General features: G+C 37.8%; 1 non-coding gene across 1 annotated transcript; it reads right to left on the bottom strand.

Annotated features, from left to right (window-relative positions):
* Window positions 1-1,297: 1,297 nt before the first annotated feature.
* Window positions 1,298-1,404, bottom strand: LOC124901543 (small nucleolar RNA U13). The gene has a single exon (XR_007059974.1). It is a non-coding gene; the product is annotated as a small nucleolar RNA U13 (small nucleolar RNA).
* Between the last annotated feature and the right edge of the window lie 16,993 nt (window positions 1,405-18,397).

The raw sequence follows: 18,397 nt of genomic DNA, 5'->3' as shown, positions 1-18,397 counted from the left end.
CTTCTCTGGAGACTGAGGCATAAGAATTGCTTGAACCCAGGAGGCAGAGGTTGCGGTGAGCTGAGATTGCACCACAGCATTCCAGACTGGACAAGAGGGAGACTGTCTCTCAAAAAAAAAAAAAAAAAATGTGTTTATTTAAAAAAAAAAAAAGAAAGAAAAAAAGAAATAAGCTATTCCATGCAAATAGTAACCAAAAGAGAGCAGCAGTGGCTATACCAATATCAGGGAAAATACACTTTAAATCCAAAAAGTGAAAAAGACATAAAGAAGGACATTATAAATTAAAATGTTCAATACAGAAAGAAGATATAAAAACTATAAACATTCATGCATCTAATAACTGACCATCAAAATATATGAGGCAAAAGCTGACAGAAATGAAGGGAGAAATATAGTTCTACAATAATAGTTAAAGATTTCAGTACTCCCCTCTCAATAATGAAGACACCAATCAGACAGATGATAAGAAAGGAAATAGAACACAACACAAACCAACTAGATCTAGCAGACACATACAGAGCATTACTCAACATCAACAGCATACACATTCTTCTCAAGTACACATGGAATATTTATCAAGATATATCATATTGAGAGGTGAAGCCAGCTGGACTTCCTGGGTCGAATGGGGACTTGGAGGACTTTTCTGTCTTACAAGGGGTTTGTAAAATGCACCAATCAGTGCTCTGTAAAAATGTACCAATCAGCACTCTGTAGCTAGCTAGAGGTTTGTAAAATGCACCTATCAATGCTCTGTAAAAACACACCAATCAGCGCTCTGTAGCTAGAGTTTTGTAAAACCAATCAGCACACTGTAAAATGGACCAATCAGTGCTCTGTAAAGTGAACCAATCAGCACTCTGTAAAATGGACCAATCAGCAGGATATGGGTGGGGACAAATAAGGGAATAAAAGCTGGGCACCCCAGCCAGCAGCGGCAACCCGCTCAGGTCCCCTTCCGTGCTGGGGAATGTTTGTTATTTTGCTCTTCACAATAAATATTACTGCTGCTCACTCTTTGGGTCCGTGCCATCTTTAAGAGCTGTATCACTCACTGCTAAGGTCCGCAGCTCCATTCTTGAAGTCAGGGAGACCACAAACCCACCAGGAGGAACCAACTCCAGACACAATATATTAAGTCACCAATTCTCGATGGATTATAAAAGATAAATATTATGCAAATTGTCTTCTCTGATCACAACAGGATGAAATTAGAACTCAGTAACACAAGTAAAATTAGAAACTTCACAAATTTGTGGAAATTGCACAGCACACTCCTTTTTCCTTTTTTTCGTGTTAGACAAGTAATGTGCCTATGCTGTAACAACCAGGTTTGAGGGAGGTGCATCTCATCCACGTGAATGAAAACCCAATCATCAGGCTTGTGAACTACAAAAGGATCATACAGCACAGTCTTCAACAACCAATGGATCAAAGAAATCACAAAAGAAATTAGAATATAATTAGAGACAAATGAAAAATGAAACTACATCACACGAAAACTTATGGTACACAGCAAAAGTGGTGCTAAAGGAAAAAACTATAGCTGTAAACACTTATCGTTAAAAAACAAAAAAGGTCTCAAATCAACAACTTCGCTTTATACCTTAAGAAACTAGAAAAAGAAGAACTAAACTCAAAACTTGGAGAAAGAAGGAAATAAAGATTAGAGCAAAGATAAAATAGAGAACAGAGAAATAATAGAGAAAATCAATAAAACCAAAAATTGATTCCTCAAGATTAGCAAAAGTGATGAAATTTTAGCCAGATGAACTAAAAAAAAAAGAGAAAAATTTAAATTAATAAAATCAAAAATGAAAGTGGAAATAATGAGTCCACATAAATAAAAAGAATTATAATAGGCTGGGTGAGGTGGCTCATGCCTGTAATTCTAGCACTTTGGGAGGCCAAGGCAGGCAGGTCACTTGAGGTCAAGAGTTTGAGACCAACCTGGCAAAAATGGTAAAACCATGTCTCTACTAAAAATACAAAAATTGGGTGGGCATGGTAGCCTACGCCTGCAATCCCAGCTATTCAGGAGGCTGAGACAGAATAATCGCTTGAACCCAGGAGGCAGAAATTGCAGTGAGCCAAGATCACACCACTGCACTCCAGCCTGGGCAACAGAGCAAGACTCCGTCTCAAAAAAATAAAAAAACATTCTAAGATAGTACTAAGAACAAGTGTATGCCAACAACTAGGTAGTCTTTATAAAATGGAAAAATTTCCAGAAACACAAAACCTGCAAAACTAAATCCTGAAGAAATAGAAAATATGAATAGACTTACAACTGGTAAGAAGATTGAATCAATGGTAAGAAGATTGAATCAATAATCAAAAAATCTCTTGAAGAAAACCATGGACCTGATGGCTTCCTCAGTGAATTCTACCAAACATTTAAAGAATGAATACTAATCCTTCTCTAACTCTTCCAGAAAATTGGAGACATATGATGGTAGGGCTAAATAAGCATTGACTATATAAAACAATAACAATGTCTAAGTGATAGATTTAACAAAAATAAGATGGAAAGAAATGTAATATGGGAGAGGTTGATTCGAGTTAGACTTCTAGGGTTCTTGTATATTTGGGATAAGAACAAACATAGATAAACTTTAAACATTAAATATGCATGTTTACATTTCTAGATTAATCATGACATGTGTAAATGCCAAACTAGTAGAGGCGGAACATAGAATGAGAAATTTTAGTACCTGTTCTCCATCCAAGCCATCAACATCTTTCTCACCATGGTTACCCTGCGGAGCAAAGGAAAAGCAGAATGTTAGAGACGAGAGGAACAGGTGAATGTGGTTATTTCTTTGATGTTAATTTCCTGGTTTATATTTTGTTCAGTTAATAGTAGAATTTAAACTTTACAAAACAACATTTATATACTGTATCAAATTATTAAAAACAATGATACATTTATTTCTGAACTAGTCATTAGGGGTATATACTGCTTTTCCTGACAGTTTCCGGTGCTGAAGAGAAAAAAAAAAAAAACCTTCAACTTTTGAATAAATAAAAAGACTTTCTTTTAAACTTTTGCACTGGGAACAAGTAACTTACAAGAGTGAATGAAACATTCCCACTGGTTGTCCACGTGATGGTCCTTTTGTCATTGACTTTCTTTAATTTCAAAAGACTAGGAAAATTTACATGAATTAATCTATGTAATAGAAACCTGAAAGATCACAGATTAAGAAGAAATTAAGTGTGTGTACATGTGTGCATTTATAATATTTTTAAAAACCTGAAAAACTGAGACTAGGTGACAAGAATAAAAACAGGCAGCCACATCATGTATCAAATATTCCATTTCTTTTAAATTATGGTCCCTTCATTTTCCCAACTATCTTAAAATAATAGTTAATATATATATCATAAAGTATATTTTGAAGAAAAACATTGAGAGTTTTACAGGGAGAATAAAACGTACTTTACATGTATGGAATAGTTGATTTACTCTTAATATCCACACAAGCAAATCAAGTTTCAGGCATTTTTTTAAACAAGTACAGCTGAGTGAGTACCTGAAAATAAGTATACTAAGCTCATGGACTAGAATTACACCATACATTTGCCACAGGCCACAGGAGATAAATTGGTGATACCAAAAGACATGCATGAGGAAGCCCCATGAGCCCATGTCTGTCTTGCTCATCATTTTGTAATAACTCCCTGGGATAATATGGGGAACAAAGTGGGCACCTAATAAATATTTCCAAATAAAAATAAAATACATAGGAATTAACCAAGGAGATGAAAGACATGTACAAGAAAAACTACAAAATATTGCTGGAAGAAATTAAAGGCATAAAAAAATAGAAACTCATCCTATGTTTATGGAGTAGAAGACAACATTTTTAGGATAGCAATACTACCCAAAGTGATCTACAGATTCAATACAATCCTATCAAAATCCTAATGATACTCTTTATAGAAAAATTCATCCTAAAATTCATATGGAATATCAAAGTTCCCTGAATAGCCAGAACAATCTTGAAAAAGGAACAAATCTGGAAGAGTCACAGTTCCTGAGTTTAAAACTTACCACAAAGCTACAGTAATCAAAACAGTGTAGTACAGTCACAAACATAGATATAGACCAATGGAAGACATAGACCAATGGAATAGAATAGATAATTCAGAAATAAACCCTCATATATACGGTAAATGATTTTCACAAGAGAGCTAAGACCATTCAATATGGAAAAGAGTCTTTGCAACAACAGGTGCTGGGAAAACTGGATATCCACATGCAAAATAATGAAGTTGGACCCTTGCCTAACACCATATACAAAAATTTATTTAAATGGATCAAAGAACTACATTTAAAACCTTAAGAAGCTATAAAACTCTTAAGAAAAAACATACAGCAAAAGCTTTATGACATTGGATTTGGCAATTATTTCTTGGATATGATTCTAAGGGCACAGGCTACAAAAGAAAAAAAACAGACAAATTAAACTTTATGGAAAGGAAAAAAATTTGTGAATAATTATGTGAGGCAATGGATATGTCAATTAACATGATTTAATCATTTCATACTGTATGCATACATCAAAATATCATGTTGCATACCACAAATATATATAACTTTTATTTGTCAATAATATATTAAGCTGGTTAGAATTTTTAATATACATTTTTAAAGACAATATCAACAGAGTAAAAAGGCAACCTACAGAATAAAATATTTGCAAATCACATATCTGATAAGATACTAATATAAAGAGAGCTCCTAAAACTCAACAATGAAAAAGGAACAATTTGATTTAAAAGTGGGCAAAAGACATGAGTAGACACTTCTCTAAAGAAGATATATAAATGGCCAATAAGCACATGAAAGGTGCTCAGCATCACTAATCATTAGGGAAATGCAAGCCAAAACTTACAATGAGATAACACCCCACACCTGTTAAGGATACTATAAATTTTTTTTTTTTTTTTTTTTTGAGACGGAGTCTCGCACTGTTACCTGGGCTGCAGTGCAGTGGCATGATCTGGGCTCACTGCAACTTCCGCCTCCCAGGTTCAAGTGATTCTCCTGCCCAAGACTCCCAAGTAGCTAGGATTACAGGCCCCACCACCATGCCCAGCTTTTTTTTTTATTTTATTTTTAGTAGAGACGGGGTTTCACTATGTTGGCCAGGCTGGTCTTGAATGCCTGACCTCGTGATCCACCCATCTCGGCCTCTCAAAGTGCTGGGATTACAGGAAAACTTTTTTAAAAACATAGAAAATAATATGTTGACAAGAATGTGGAGACATAGAAACTCTTCTGCACTGTTGCTGGAATGCAAAATGTTATAGCCACTGTGGAAAACAGTATGGCAAGTCCTCAAAAATTAAAAATACAATTATCATATGATCCAGAAGTTCCAATTCTTGGTATACACCCCAAAGAATTGAAAACAGAATCTTGAAGAGATATTTATATACCCATGTTACAACAGCATTATTCACAATAGCTAAAACATAGAAGTAACTCAAGTGTTCACCAGTGGGATGAATGGAAAAGCAAAATGTGGTACATGCCTGTAGTCCCAACTCCTAGGGAGGCTGAGGTGGGAAGACTGCTTGAGCCCAGAAATTCAAGGTCACCCTAGGCAACATAGTGAGACCTCATCTCTAAAAACATTTAAAAAAATTAAAAAAGAAATATTGATATATGCTACAACATGGATGAACCTTGAAGGTGTTATGCTAAATGAAGTAAACCAGTCACAATAATACATATACCATATGATTCCACTTACATGAGCTACTTAGAATAGGCAAAATCATAGAGACAGAAAGTATTGTACATTTCTGCCCTATCACAAGAGTGAAACTGCTTTCATTGTATGTCATTATCTTCTAATTGATGAAATTCATAGATTATTTTCACTAAGTCTATTAGATTTATCTGGGAACATGGCGCTGATCATTCTTCTCTATAAAGAGACTTAAAAAACTAACCAGGCACCGTGGTGAGGGCCTATATTCCCAGCTGCTAGCAAGACTGGAGCAGGAGTATTGCTTGAGCCCAGGAGATTGCAGCTGCAGTGAGCTATGATCCCACCACTGCACTCCAGCTGGTCAACAGGACAAAATTTCATCTCTAAAATTAAAAAATAATAATAATGTAAATAAAAAGATAGCACTATCTCCTACTTTGACTTGGGTGAAACTGCTCTCTCCTGCTGTTCTTACTGATTCTTCTCAGTTTCTTTGGATGGCTATTCTCCCCACTTCCATAATTGGCCCCCTTTTCTTCTGTTTCCAAATGGCAACCTCACTTAGGTCTCTGGCCTTAGCCATGAACTTTGTCAAGGACTCTATTACCCTTGATCAGACTCAGTGCTCAAATTCCTCCAGAGGGGAAGCAAGTGACCCAAACAAATGAGGAATAGGTGTGCATACATACTGAATGAAGAATTGGAATCATGGCCAAAGAAGTAGCTGCTCCTCAGTTCCCTTTGATATTTGTCATGTCAAGCAAATTTATTCTTTAAAACTAAATTTCTTTGTATGTAATATTTAAAGTAGCCCATTTATTAAGATCTATTTAGGAGGAAAAAAATACACAATCCATTTTTGCCTAACATTATGGATATATTTAATACCACATAACAAATCTCTGACATAAACAAATGACTCTTCTTTTGTTTATTATCCTGACCTCTGTACAGAATCAGAGTTCCAGCTATAAACTGGATATATCCATTTTGTTACCACATAGGTGCGTCAAATTCCACACACTCAGACCAGGAGCGGTGGCTCACGCCTGTAATCCCAGCACTTTGGGAGGCAGAGGCACGCGGATCACGAAGTCAGGAGATTTAGACTATCCTGGCCAACATGGTGAAACCCATCTCTACTAAAAATACAAAAATTAGCCAGGTGTGGTGGCATGCACCTGTAGTCCCAGCTACTCAGGAGGCTGAGGCAGGAGAATTGCTTGAACCGGGGAGGCGGAGGTTGCAGTGAGCCAAGATCACACCATTGCACTCCAGCCTGATGACAGAGCTAGACTCCATCTCAAATTGTAAAAAAAAATTTAAAAAAAATTCCACACAGCATTGAGATATGTGGAATCTGGCAAGTCCAGTTTCTAGTCTCTTCCTGAAATCTGGTTTAGGATATATTTGAAAAACATATTTCAAATCTTTCATACCTGTCACCTTCATCTTTTTGTCAATAATAAAGTCTAAAGATAATAGTTAAGCTAAATTCAAATCTCAGAATGACAGATGCAATTAGGTCATTTCAGTGTATTGAACAATCTATACATAAGAATAAACAGTAATAGTAGATGTAGTAAGAACAATAGTAGGCAGTTATCTTCTATTTCTATTACTATGTAAGGCATTGTATTAAAAGTTTTGCATGTGCTGGGTGCAGTAGCTCACACCTGTAATCCTGCATTTTGGGAGGCTGAGGCAGGTGGATCACCTGAGGTCAGGAGTTCCGACTATCCTAACCAACATGGTGAAACCCCATCTCTACTAAATACAAAACATTAGCCGGGCATGGTGGCATACGCCTGCAATCCCAGCTACTTGGGAGCATGAAGCAGGAGAATCACTTGAACCCGGGAGGCAGAGGTTGCAGTGAGCCGAGATTGCACCATTGCACTCCAGCCTGGGCAACAAGAGTGAAACTCCGCCTCAAAAATAAAGTTTTGCATGAATTAATGAAAGAATCCTCACAACAAGCACAGGAGAAAAATAATAATTATCCCCGATACATAGATGAGGAAGTGAAGACTCAAATTTAACTTCCCAGTTTGGTCTTAGTGGTAAATGAGTAAGTTCTGATGTTATTATTTGACTTCACATATCCAGCCATGCCTAAACCTAGGAAACCCCTATAACTTTTACTTGAGGACACACTGTTTTGTTTTTTTTAACTGGTTCAGATTGGAATTATTTCACTTCAAATTGAGAGAGGCCTAAGAAATACACCTTGGAAAAATAGGTATCTTTTACAGAGTACCTGAAGTAGCCTGACATGTGATATTGATGTACTTATGAATCAATCACAGGTTAGGAAACACTAAATGATCAATGCCCCCATGGAAACCATTCTAAGACATGTTGCTTATAGTGTGTTACGATGAGGTAACCACCACCCTCCAGAATATTTTCCTATATACAACTTCTTAGTTCCAAGGGATAAGGGAGACAGCAGCGGGTAAGGGGCAGGGAGTAGAAATGGATAATCTTTGTTGATTACTTGAGAACAACTTAAATTCCTCCACCAACTTTTCTACGGGACTCTGCCAACATACCCATTTTAATATGTCAGACAAAAAAAGGGCATGCACAAACAATTCACAAAAGAGAAAATAATTGCATAACCTCTCTTGTAATGTAAATGCCAAAGAAGGCTAGTTGCCATTTTTCAGCTATAAAACTTGTAAAAACATGTAGCAATCCTAGTGCTGATCACAAAGTGTTGTCTAGCTTTCTTCCTTTTTGGTACATGGTAGATTTGCACTTCTAGGCAACTTGTAAGTGGGTGAAGCCAGATGACTTGTTATGACTAATGGATTGTGAACTAAGTGATATTTTTTACTTCTGGAAAAGAACATTGAATAGCACATGCAAAACCCTATACAGCTCTTCTGCGTGGGATTCTAGAGAAAGGATAGAGGACAGAGCACCCACCTAGCCTGTAAAAAATTATGTAGTTTGAGCAAAATATACATCTAAGTTGTTTTAAGTCAATAAAGTTCTGAGGCTGCTTGATACTGTGGATGTCCACAGACTCTCCTGACTGAAATTAAACATAAAAAGTGACAATAGCCTATTTTAAAATACATTTTAATTTAAATAAATCTTAATCCAAGGTGGATTAAAATGTGCACACTTATGTCCCCTTACTGGCAGGATAAATTGGGGGAAACTTTTTGGAGTATACTTTTGCAGGATGTCTTAACAGATAATTTATTTTTCTCCTGGTAATATATCTCAATATAAAAAGGAAAAAGGAAAGAACTATTAGCACTGATAACAAAAGTTCTATTTTCAAGGAAGTTCAGAGACAAATTTGTCTTAATAAATTTCCAGTATATTCTAAAAGAACCCACTCTGAGATCAAGCCCTTGATTATGAATCCAGTCTCCACGTCTTTTTGGCTGTCATCTCACAATATTGGGACTCACAAAAAATGGGGCTCACAATATTACCAAAATTAATTGGACAGAATAAACACTTGGTAAATATTAGCCATTAGTATGATTATGTAAGACCTTATATTCTGTTCCCCAGCTTGTTCAAGGCTACATGCTCTGACTTAATTCGTACATTCATTACTGATACTTCATTTATTTATATTAGTACATCATTGCAAATTTATTTTAATTCTATCCTGTCATTTAGGAAATAGAGCAGAATACTGCTGAAAGTATTGTTGAAAAACATATCTTTCCTCCATGTTCAACTTTGGGATAACATCAAAATATACCTTTATTACTAACAAAAGTGACAAAAGGTATATTACTAACAAAATACACTTTTATTACTAACAAAAGTGATTGGAGACTATGGCTTAGACACTGGCAGTGCGAACTTGCTAAGACTTCACCTCTGAAATGAACAAATTTACCCCTTCCCTTCTGTCCATAAGTACAGCCAGAAAGTGGCAGACCTACCACACTGTAGCAGGGTCGTATCAAGTGGTAAAGAGCACACAATACATCCCTTCTCCCAGCACACAGACTCAAGAAGAAGAGAGAGGAATGGGCTGCATTGATTATATCTAACTAATCCTAAACCCACCAATCAGGTAAGTTCCTCCTTCTCCTAAGAGTAGGTGGATATGAGGGCTGGATTGAGACTAAGGATGTGACCCTAATGTAAGTCCTTGCAAAGCTACTGCTGAATGCTGGCAGAAGTATCTCACTCAAACACCCAAATGGGTTTTGAATTTCCTCAGCAGCTGTAGACTGGGATTTTTTATTACTGGATGCATGTGGTTTATCATTCATATTGATAATTCTAAAGAATTGAAGGAATCACACAAGAAAATCAAGACATGTTCCCATTAACAGTTTAACTTGTTTCTTAATATGTCTTGTTTCTTCTCAACCTAATGTAGGGTTCTCACCACTTTCAGTTCCCGCTCTCCCGCTCTCCCGCTCTCCCGCTCTCCCGCTCTCCCGCTCTCCCGCTCTCCCGCTCTCCCGCTCTCCCGCTCTCCCGCTCTCCCGCTCTCCCGCTCTCCCGCTCTCCCGCTCTCCCGCTCTCCCGCTCTCCCGCTCTCCCGACTTGGCCATTTGTTTTTCAAACATGCTATTTAGATCTCTGGAGTGAGCACATGAAGTCAATGAGTTCTTTATGTTCAAAATCATTCATAGCTGTTCACATTCACTGCCCTAGATAATTCCTCCAAAACAATAACTAACCCTGGCCTGAATTTGATGTTCTGCCTGGTTCACTTGTAATATGCTTCCATTTGTTTATGCCTATCTTTGAAGTCCCAGTTTTCTCATTTTTTGAGCATTTTCATTCAGAACTCAGGACTTTCCGTGATGACTCTTCACCAGTAATAGCTTTGTCACCTCTAAACCCATATAGCAATTCTTTGAAGAATTTATGACGCTCTTCCCCTCTCAAACCTATTCATATTTTCTGTAACCATTTGGTGTAGCTGCCTGATCATCAAGGTGTGATCCACCAGGTGCTCTTCCTATATATGTGGTTGGAGAGAAGGGAAAGTAAATGGATCCCAAGACCCATTCCTGCCCAGAGGATGATGTTAGTGATGTAGGACAACCCCAAATTTGCTTAAACTTTCAGTTGCCTCTACTACTTCATCAAAGATCTAATCCAAATCAGCGTGGAATCCTCAATCACATATCAAAGAAAGGGAGATTTTTGTATTTATCAATTTGAGCCTTAGGGCATTTCATTAGTTAACAGATGGTATGCAACATGATGGAAAGTGCATTAGATAAAAAGTAGAATTAATTGTGAGAGCTTTGTGTCATGTTGTGATTTTTATTTGATTATTAGAGTCATTATTTGTTCAAAAGACCCAGAGCCTTTAGGTTTCAAGAATAATAGAAGAAACTCTTATTTACTAAAGTAGTTTAAAATGTTTTTCAAAGGCAAATATAGTAAATCGTCTTTATTTATTGAAATCAGGTGGTAGTTCATTATATTAGTATATACATTTTTGAATGTGTGAAATGTTTTGAATGTTTGAAATGTTTTATAATAAAAATAGGTTATTTTTAAAAATTCCAAACTTAAACACAGCCAACCACCAAAATGTTAGGTATCAAGGAGATAATGATACCCTTTTCCCCTCCCTAGTTCAGAAACAATTGAGAAATAGATGCAGAAATCAGATGAAGATTATTGTGTCATCTTTATCACTTGTGAAAACAGCTTGGAAAATGTTGCCTTAGCTCTTTGGCCAAGTGGCCCCGCCAACCCTGACTCCCAAAATTGACTCTCATATCCAGACCCAGGCACAGGGGCACTTGCAGAAGTAAAGCTCTTCCACATGAGAGAGAAGGGCCTAAGTGAACCCTCTCTGCAGGGAAGCAGATCTGAAAATCGGGCACAGACTGCTAACGTGAGTGGGAAGGGGCAGGAGGGAGGTTTCTGGGGTACTGGAAATGTTCTGTTTCTTGATCTGCAGTGATTTCATGGGTTTATGAATATATAGAAATCCATCAAGCTGAATACTTAAGATTTGAGTATTTTTGTGTATTTCCCCATATGTATTAACCTGCTAGCGTTGGAATAACAAAATGTCATAGACTAGGTGGCTTCAACAACAAATTAATTTTCTTACAATTCTGGAAGCTGGAATTCCAAGATCAACATGTCAACAATTCTCACTGTGTCCTCACATGGCCTTTTCTTTATTTATACATGTCCCTGTGTCACTTCCTTTTCTTATAAGGGTACCAGTCATCTTCGATTAAGGTCCCACCCTATAGGCCTTAATTAACTTTAATTACCTTTTTAAAGGCCCTATCTCCAAATATAGTCACATAGTGAGTTAAGGCATCAACATATGAATTTTGGGACAGAGTTCAGTCCACGACACCATTTATATGGTAAACTGTACTTCAATAACAAAGTTTTTTTTAAAAAGCAAATGTTCATAAAGTGGGAACTTTAATGTAAATGAAGAGACTGAATTTACTATATGATAATGCATTAGTCCATTCTCACACTACTATAAAGCTACTACCTAAGACTGATAATTTATAAACAAAAGAGGTTTAATTGACTCACAGTTCCACATGGCTCGGGAGGCCTCAGGAAACTTACAATCATGGCAGAAGACAAGGGGAAGCAAGAACCTTCTTCACATGGCAGGAGAGAGAAGCAAGCAAGGGTAGGGAAACTGTCTTATAAAACCACCAGATCTCGTGAGAACTCACTTACTATCACAAGAACAGCATGGGGGAAACCACTCCCATGATCCAATCAACCCTCTCCCTCAACACCTGGAGATTACAATTGAAGTTGAGATCTGGGTGGGGACACAGAGCCAAACCATATCAGATGACTTTAAGACAACCCATTCTTTCCTGAGAAAACTGTGGGAGAAGAGTACAAGAGAACTGGAAGCCTATGCAAAAGAAGGAAGGCGACAGAGGGACAAGGGAGGGTCAGTGGGAAGGGGAGATCTGGAAGCAGGGAGTAGCTTTTCCTGCTTTACAAGTATGATTTAATTTGGGAGAGGCCAAAATCCCCTGTCTGGGGCCAGCTGGTGGACCCAGATGGGGCTCATCACTTCCAGCAATAGAGAGGGAGAGAGAGAGGAGAGAGGAGAGAAGTAGGAAGTGGGTGTGGGCTTGAGGGGAAAGATTGGGGGCAGGTGTGAAAGAGTAGTAGAAAAATGGTAAGAAAGAGAGAGGGAGAGAAAGAGGAGAGGAAACAAGAGGAGAGAAAACGAATAAATATGACTCTACAAGAGGTAAATATGTGGCTTAAAGTTAAAGGAAATAAACTGGATGCCAGATGCCTGGGTTCATGTCCCGCCTCAGCTACTTAAGAGCTTGGTGACCATGGTAACATCACTTAATTTTTCCATGCCTCAGTCTCTTAATCTGTCAAATGAAGTAAAGAATACTACCCACATTATATGATCATTTACAGAAACAAATGAGCTAATATATGTACAGTTAGCAAAGGTCTACTATTATTATCACTCAAGTTCCAGGTTTCCATCTAGGATTCAAGAAATAAACAAGAAATGACAACCTGCCTTTGTGAAGATTCAGCAAATGTGTACAGCCTGGGAAATAGTCTGTTCCCTTTTTCACTCCCTTGTTTGCTTTTCCAACTGGGCTTACGGTGTGTATAGTTACAGCCAACTCTGAACATAGCAACCCTAGAAAGACTGCTCAGCGTAGCTGTGCCGAGGTGACTGGGATATACACAGTAGTTGTCATGTGATTTTACTTAAGCCTGATATCTCCCAACATAGACCTAATTTTCCATCTAGGAAATGTTGATATCCTGCCGTTCCATGATAAGGCTAAGTGAGAAGTCTGCAGTCCTCAAATGTAATTTTTCTACATGAGTTATCTTGCTTGCTTTTTTCATTGAGGCAGCCAAAAAAATAAATCCAGCAAAGACCATTTTATTCCCCTCCACTTCACTGTGATGCAAGTTGATAGACCACACTAACCCCTAAGGAGGATCATTTCTGAAATGTGAGAATGCAGGTGTTTTGCTTATTTTCTACATGGGCACTTTTCTCTCTGCCAGCGCCTGTCTCCAGAGATGACAGCACTGCAAAGAAACCGGGAGCTGAAAAACCACAGGTAATGTTTACTGTGTGCATTTATTAAAAGGTGTTAACAACTAATTGCATAGCATCACCCACTTAAACACATTGCAAAGAGTATTATTGCCATGAGTCTGAAAAATGCTTCCCTGGCATAGATTTTTAATAGCTTTTAAAAAGAATATGGTCCTGTAGGAAATGCCAAATTTGTGGCTTCATCCAGTGCATTTGGGAGACAGGATGTGGTTCAGCAGTTATGGGGGTTGCCGTGAGTCATCTATGGAGACAGATGTTTCCATGGTGACCTTCCCCATTCATTCAGTGTGAGGCCTCCATATACTCGTGAGGATTAATGACATGGCATTAACACTGATAATCATAATGAAGAGAGCTGTCTGAGATTGGGGCAACCCAACCCTGACATTTTCAAGGAAATAGGATGGAGGAATTTAACCAATGTGTAGAGGAAGAAAATATTGAACTACAAGGAGAGGAAATCCATTTCTTCTTTTTTTTATAAAATAGTCTTCCTGCCAGAAAAGAGTCAGCTGCTGACAGACTTCTATAGTCTCCCCTCTGAGAATTCTCTTTATATTATGACAGAGTGGGGGTGGAAATAAATAACCCCAAAAATGTTTCACTTTACGTCAAAAGAACCAGGACTAGAGAATAAGGAAAAGGCACAGACTTAAACTCTACTCAGTTGTCTTATTTGTTTGTTTATTTAAATACCTTAAGATGTTCCTTAGGAAATCCTTTTAGGGAAACTCATTTTACTGAGAGACTTGCCTATTCTATAGCTTTATGGCACTACTTTTGTCCCTTCGGGGAAAAAAAACCATTCTTCTCACATTGTGCTGATAGCAACATGTTTTTTTAGCTCACAGAGATGTGGGGCATTGTACGAACTGATAAAGTGAAATGTTAGGAGCCTATGATCTAACTCAGATGCCAGCCCGGGTACAATCGTAGACACAAAAAGAGATTATTACACTTTCCCAGAGCAGGATGCAGATACTCACAGGCTCACAGAGGATTGTGCCTTGTGATTTAGTTAGTTGTTTGCATGGTTATCTCTTTTATTAAATTTCAAGATTCTATAGAGCAGGAACTTCATCTTATTCACCTTTGGCACAGCCAGCTACCCCTAACATACACACATAAAAATATACACAAGCACACATATAAACAAACATACCTACACACACACACCCCTAGCATTTTACTTTACACCCCACACACTGCATTACTACCTACCTCTTAAATGAGTGGATTTCATCAGCAATGTAAAACCTCGAATGAGACAATTAAGCACTTGTATATGAAGTTTTTGAAACTCATAGAGTCAAATTATAATGGTTTTTAAAACTATGTAACACTGTTTTGCTTTTTTAAATGTTTAGACAAGTGGATTTGACACAAATGCAATAAAGCCTGAGAGGCAGTAAATGAAAAAAAATCATGAAAAAAGAAATTAAGAGACTCTAGAGCCACTGGACTATTCGGGTTGATTAAATGATGTCTGCAAAATGCTGATGACTGGACCTATTGTGGCATTTGCTAATCCAGCAAATATTTACTAAGTACCTATTTTAATAGTTACTTGCTCTGTGCCAAGCATTGTCCTAAGTGCTTATGCATATTGACTTATTTAATCTCTCCTAAGAGGTAAACACTATTATGAAAATACCTGTTTTTAGGAAAGTAAACTGAAGTAGGAGTAATTTCAGTGACTTGCCTAAATTCACATAAATAATATGGAGTTGAGTTTTAAGCTGAACCACGCAGGCTGGCTCCAGATCACAAGCTCTTAACTGCTATGTGATAATGCCAACCCCTGGGCTAGAAATGGGAGATATAAAAATAGTCAAATGGTACATACATCTTCTTGGTTTTCATAAAGCTTGGAGTTTTGAAGTGGTAACATGCTTAAAACCACCAGTTGCAATCACAACTGGCAAGTGCCACAAGGGACAAGGAAGGGACTCTAGGAACAGGTTAGTGCAAGTCATTCTAACCTAAAGATTATGAGGCTAGTCATAATAGGAAAAGGTACAGACAGTAAGATAGGTGAGCACCGCTTTCCTATTGACCTTGTTTTCTATTTGTCTTTGATGAGGAGGTATGCATGACTCAGCCAGAGATATTGAAGGAAGGAATCTTTCCAAATGATTCCTCAGGTATGAACTTTGAGGGACATACCTCTGCGGAGCAGAAAGTTAGCATCTGACTAGACAGATGTGATTACCCAGTTGGAAACTCTCAGCATGGACTGTTGGGAGGGACAGTGTTTCCAAGAAGCCAAAAGTGCAGAAAGAACAGCACAGTCAACAGAAGATCCTGATAACCTTTGCTAAGGTTATAGTGCGTGTCATGGGCATGAGAAACTTTGGGGAACCAGGTACCTGCTAAGAAAGTTCCTCTAAAAGTCAGTTTAAATCTCGGTGATTAATTAAACATTTTTATGCCTCATCATAGTAGTTAAGTACTTTCTATGTACCAAACTCTATGGTAAGTCTTGGGAGAAAAAATATTATTATTATTGCTATCCTGATCAAAGTTATGACATGGGAGAGCTGGCATAGGAACCAAAGCCTAACTTATTCCAAAGCCAGTTCTTATGGCAACTGTGGCTTGTGACCAAAATTCTTGCTGGGGTTTGCAAATGAAGCAAGTTAATACCTGTTCATAAGTAGGAACTAGTGACTCATTGGATCTGAGTGGAGAGCTTGACATAGAATCATCCTACAACTCCCAGAAGTAATTTGTCACTTAATGCCACTGATGCCCCAAAGTGTGATAGTCAAATCTATGGGGACACACTAGAAACAAATGTAAGATTTTGTCCCCATTTCAAAGTCTGTATGAATTTCCAGTCTTGGTTGATTAGATTCTTTCATTCAACATTAATTATGGCAGGATATCTAGGGACAGGGCAAAGTAGTAGTCAGGAGAAGAGCTAAAACTGAGGAGAAACACATTTTAAAATGTCAGGGAAATGGATACACATAGGTATCAAGAGAATGGACATAAATATTGCAAGCTGGGAGTTGCAAAGGCCCCAGCAAACAGCTTCTGGATGATCAATAGAAATGCAAGGGGAAAAGCAAAATGTGTGCTCAAACAGGGAAGCTATGAGAAATTGTCAGGAGAGCCAAAGAAATAGAGAAAGTGGAGAGGAGACAAGGCAAGACCTATAGCCGGGTCTGACCCCTGGCCTGAGGCAACTTGCTCTCGTGCTGCCAGTTCTTGAGTTCCTTGTCCCCTTGCTGAGAACGAATGAGCCATGGCAGGGTATCATATATGCTAAGAACAGAGGGCAGTAACCAGGAGTGAAACAGTGGGTGAGGGCAGGAGATGATACAGCTGAGTTCATCGAAATGGTTAGTGGGGGTACAAAAGTGCTGTTGCAGTATTTTCTGCAAGTCCACCTCAAGAGGCCAAAATATTTTCAACAAAAATGCCATTGGTTTTTACAAATTATGACTGAAAAATTATTCTTAAAACATTTGAGGACAAAGAGACCCATTTGCAAGCCCAAAACATTAAAGCTTTCCAGGACTTTCCTTCTACAGCTTTGCAACTGCCTTAGGACTTGCTTTCTGAATCATTTCCTGACCATCACTAGTTTCATGCTCCTCTAACAGACCAAAAATGTGGCATATTTGGGCATCATATGAAGTATATATTGGATTAGGCACCTATAGGTACATTACCCATTTCCTAAATTGTACCTTTATGTTTGATTACAATTACTTTGTGGCTTATCTATTAATCTATCTTGCATCACAGCTAGGATTACTAAATACAGGGTAAAGGGATTCTAACATCCTTTATAAAATATGGCAATGCTTAACTGAGTATATTTTCAGTTCCAGGCACAAGTCTGTTTAATTATACTATTCCTTTTGTAAGTTAGGTTGAACATAATGTTATTTTACTCAAATAATGTACTTAACTACTTTGAAAATCTATACCTCAATGAGTTTCTAGAAGAGCTCTCTAAAACTAACCAGTTCACTAATAATGTGGTCCCAAAATAACTTCCTTATTTTAATAAGAGGAAGTATTTTTGTCACCTCTAGTAACTTGGGTGGTGCTTTTGGGAATCACGAAGTAAGAATTTATTTCCCTATGTGCAGACCTCTATCTGTAGGTTCCTACCATTGTCCTTGGGGCTTCTGGCTGGCTTATTACAGATTCAACATATTGTCTTTTGTCCTTTTGGTTCCTGTCACTGTCTTCTCTTTTCCATTCGTTTTCATGGTATCTACTTGGTTTTGGAATATCTTTATGGTTGCTTTTTCCCCTTTGTACAAAATGTTGTCTCGTTCTTTGAGCATTTCAAAAGCCCTCCCCAGTGACTTGAATTTGAAGAAAGCTGCAGGGTTGTAGCTCAGTGGAAAGCTTAGAATGACAGTGAAATGCCTAAACAGGGACTACTCTTTCTGAATAGGGAAACCTAAAAATAAAAGCTGTCTGCAGCTGGGACTGTGTGCCAAGACAACTATCACTGAGATGCAGAGGAAATAAAAAACATAAATAAAAAACAACCTTGCTAGAAAGGATGCAAGTGTTAAATTGGTGCCAAGGTAGAAACCTGGAAAAGGCCAACTTCATCATAGTTGGTTTATCATCCACA

This window comes from Homo sapiens, chromosome 6, assembly GCF_000001405.40.
Source record: "Homo sapiens chromosome 6, GRCh38.p14 Primary Assembly".
Taxonomy (NCBI): Eukaryota; Metazoa; Chordata; class Mammalia; order Primates; family Hominidae; genus Homo; species Homo sapiens.
Note: the sequence above shows the minus strand (reverse complement) of the source record. Positions and strands in the feature narration are given on the sequence as shown.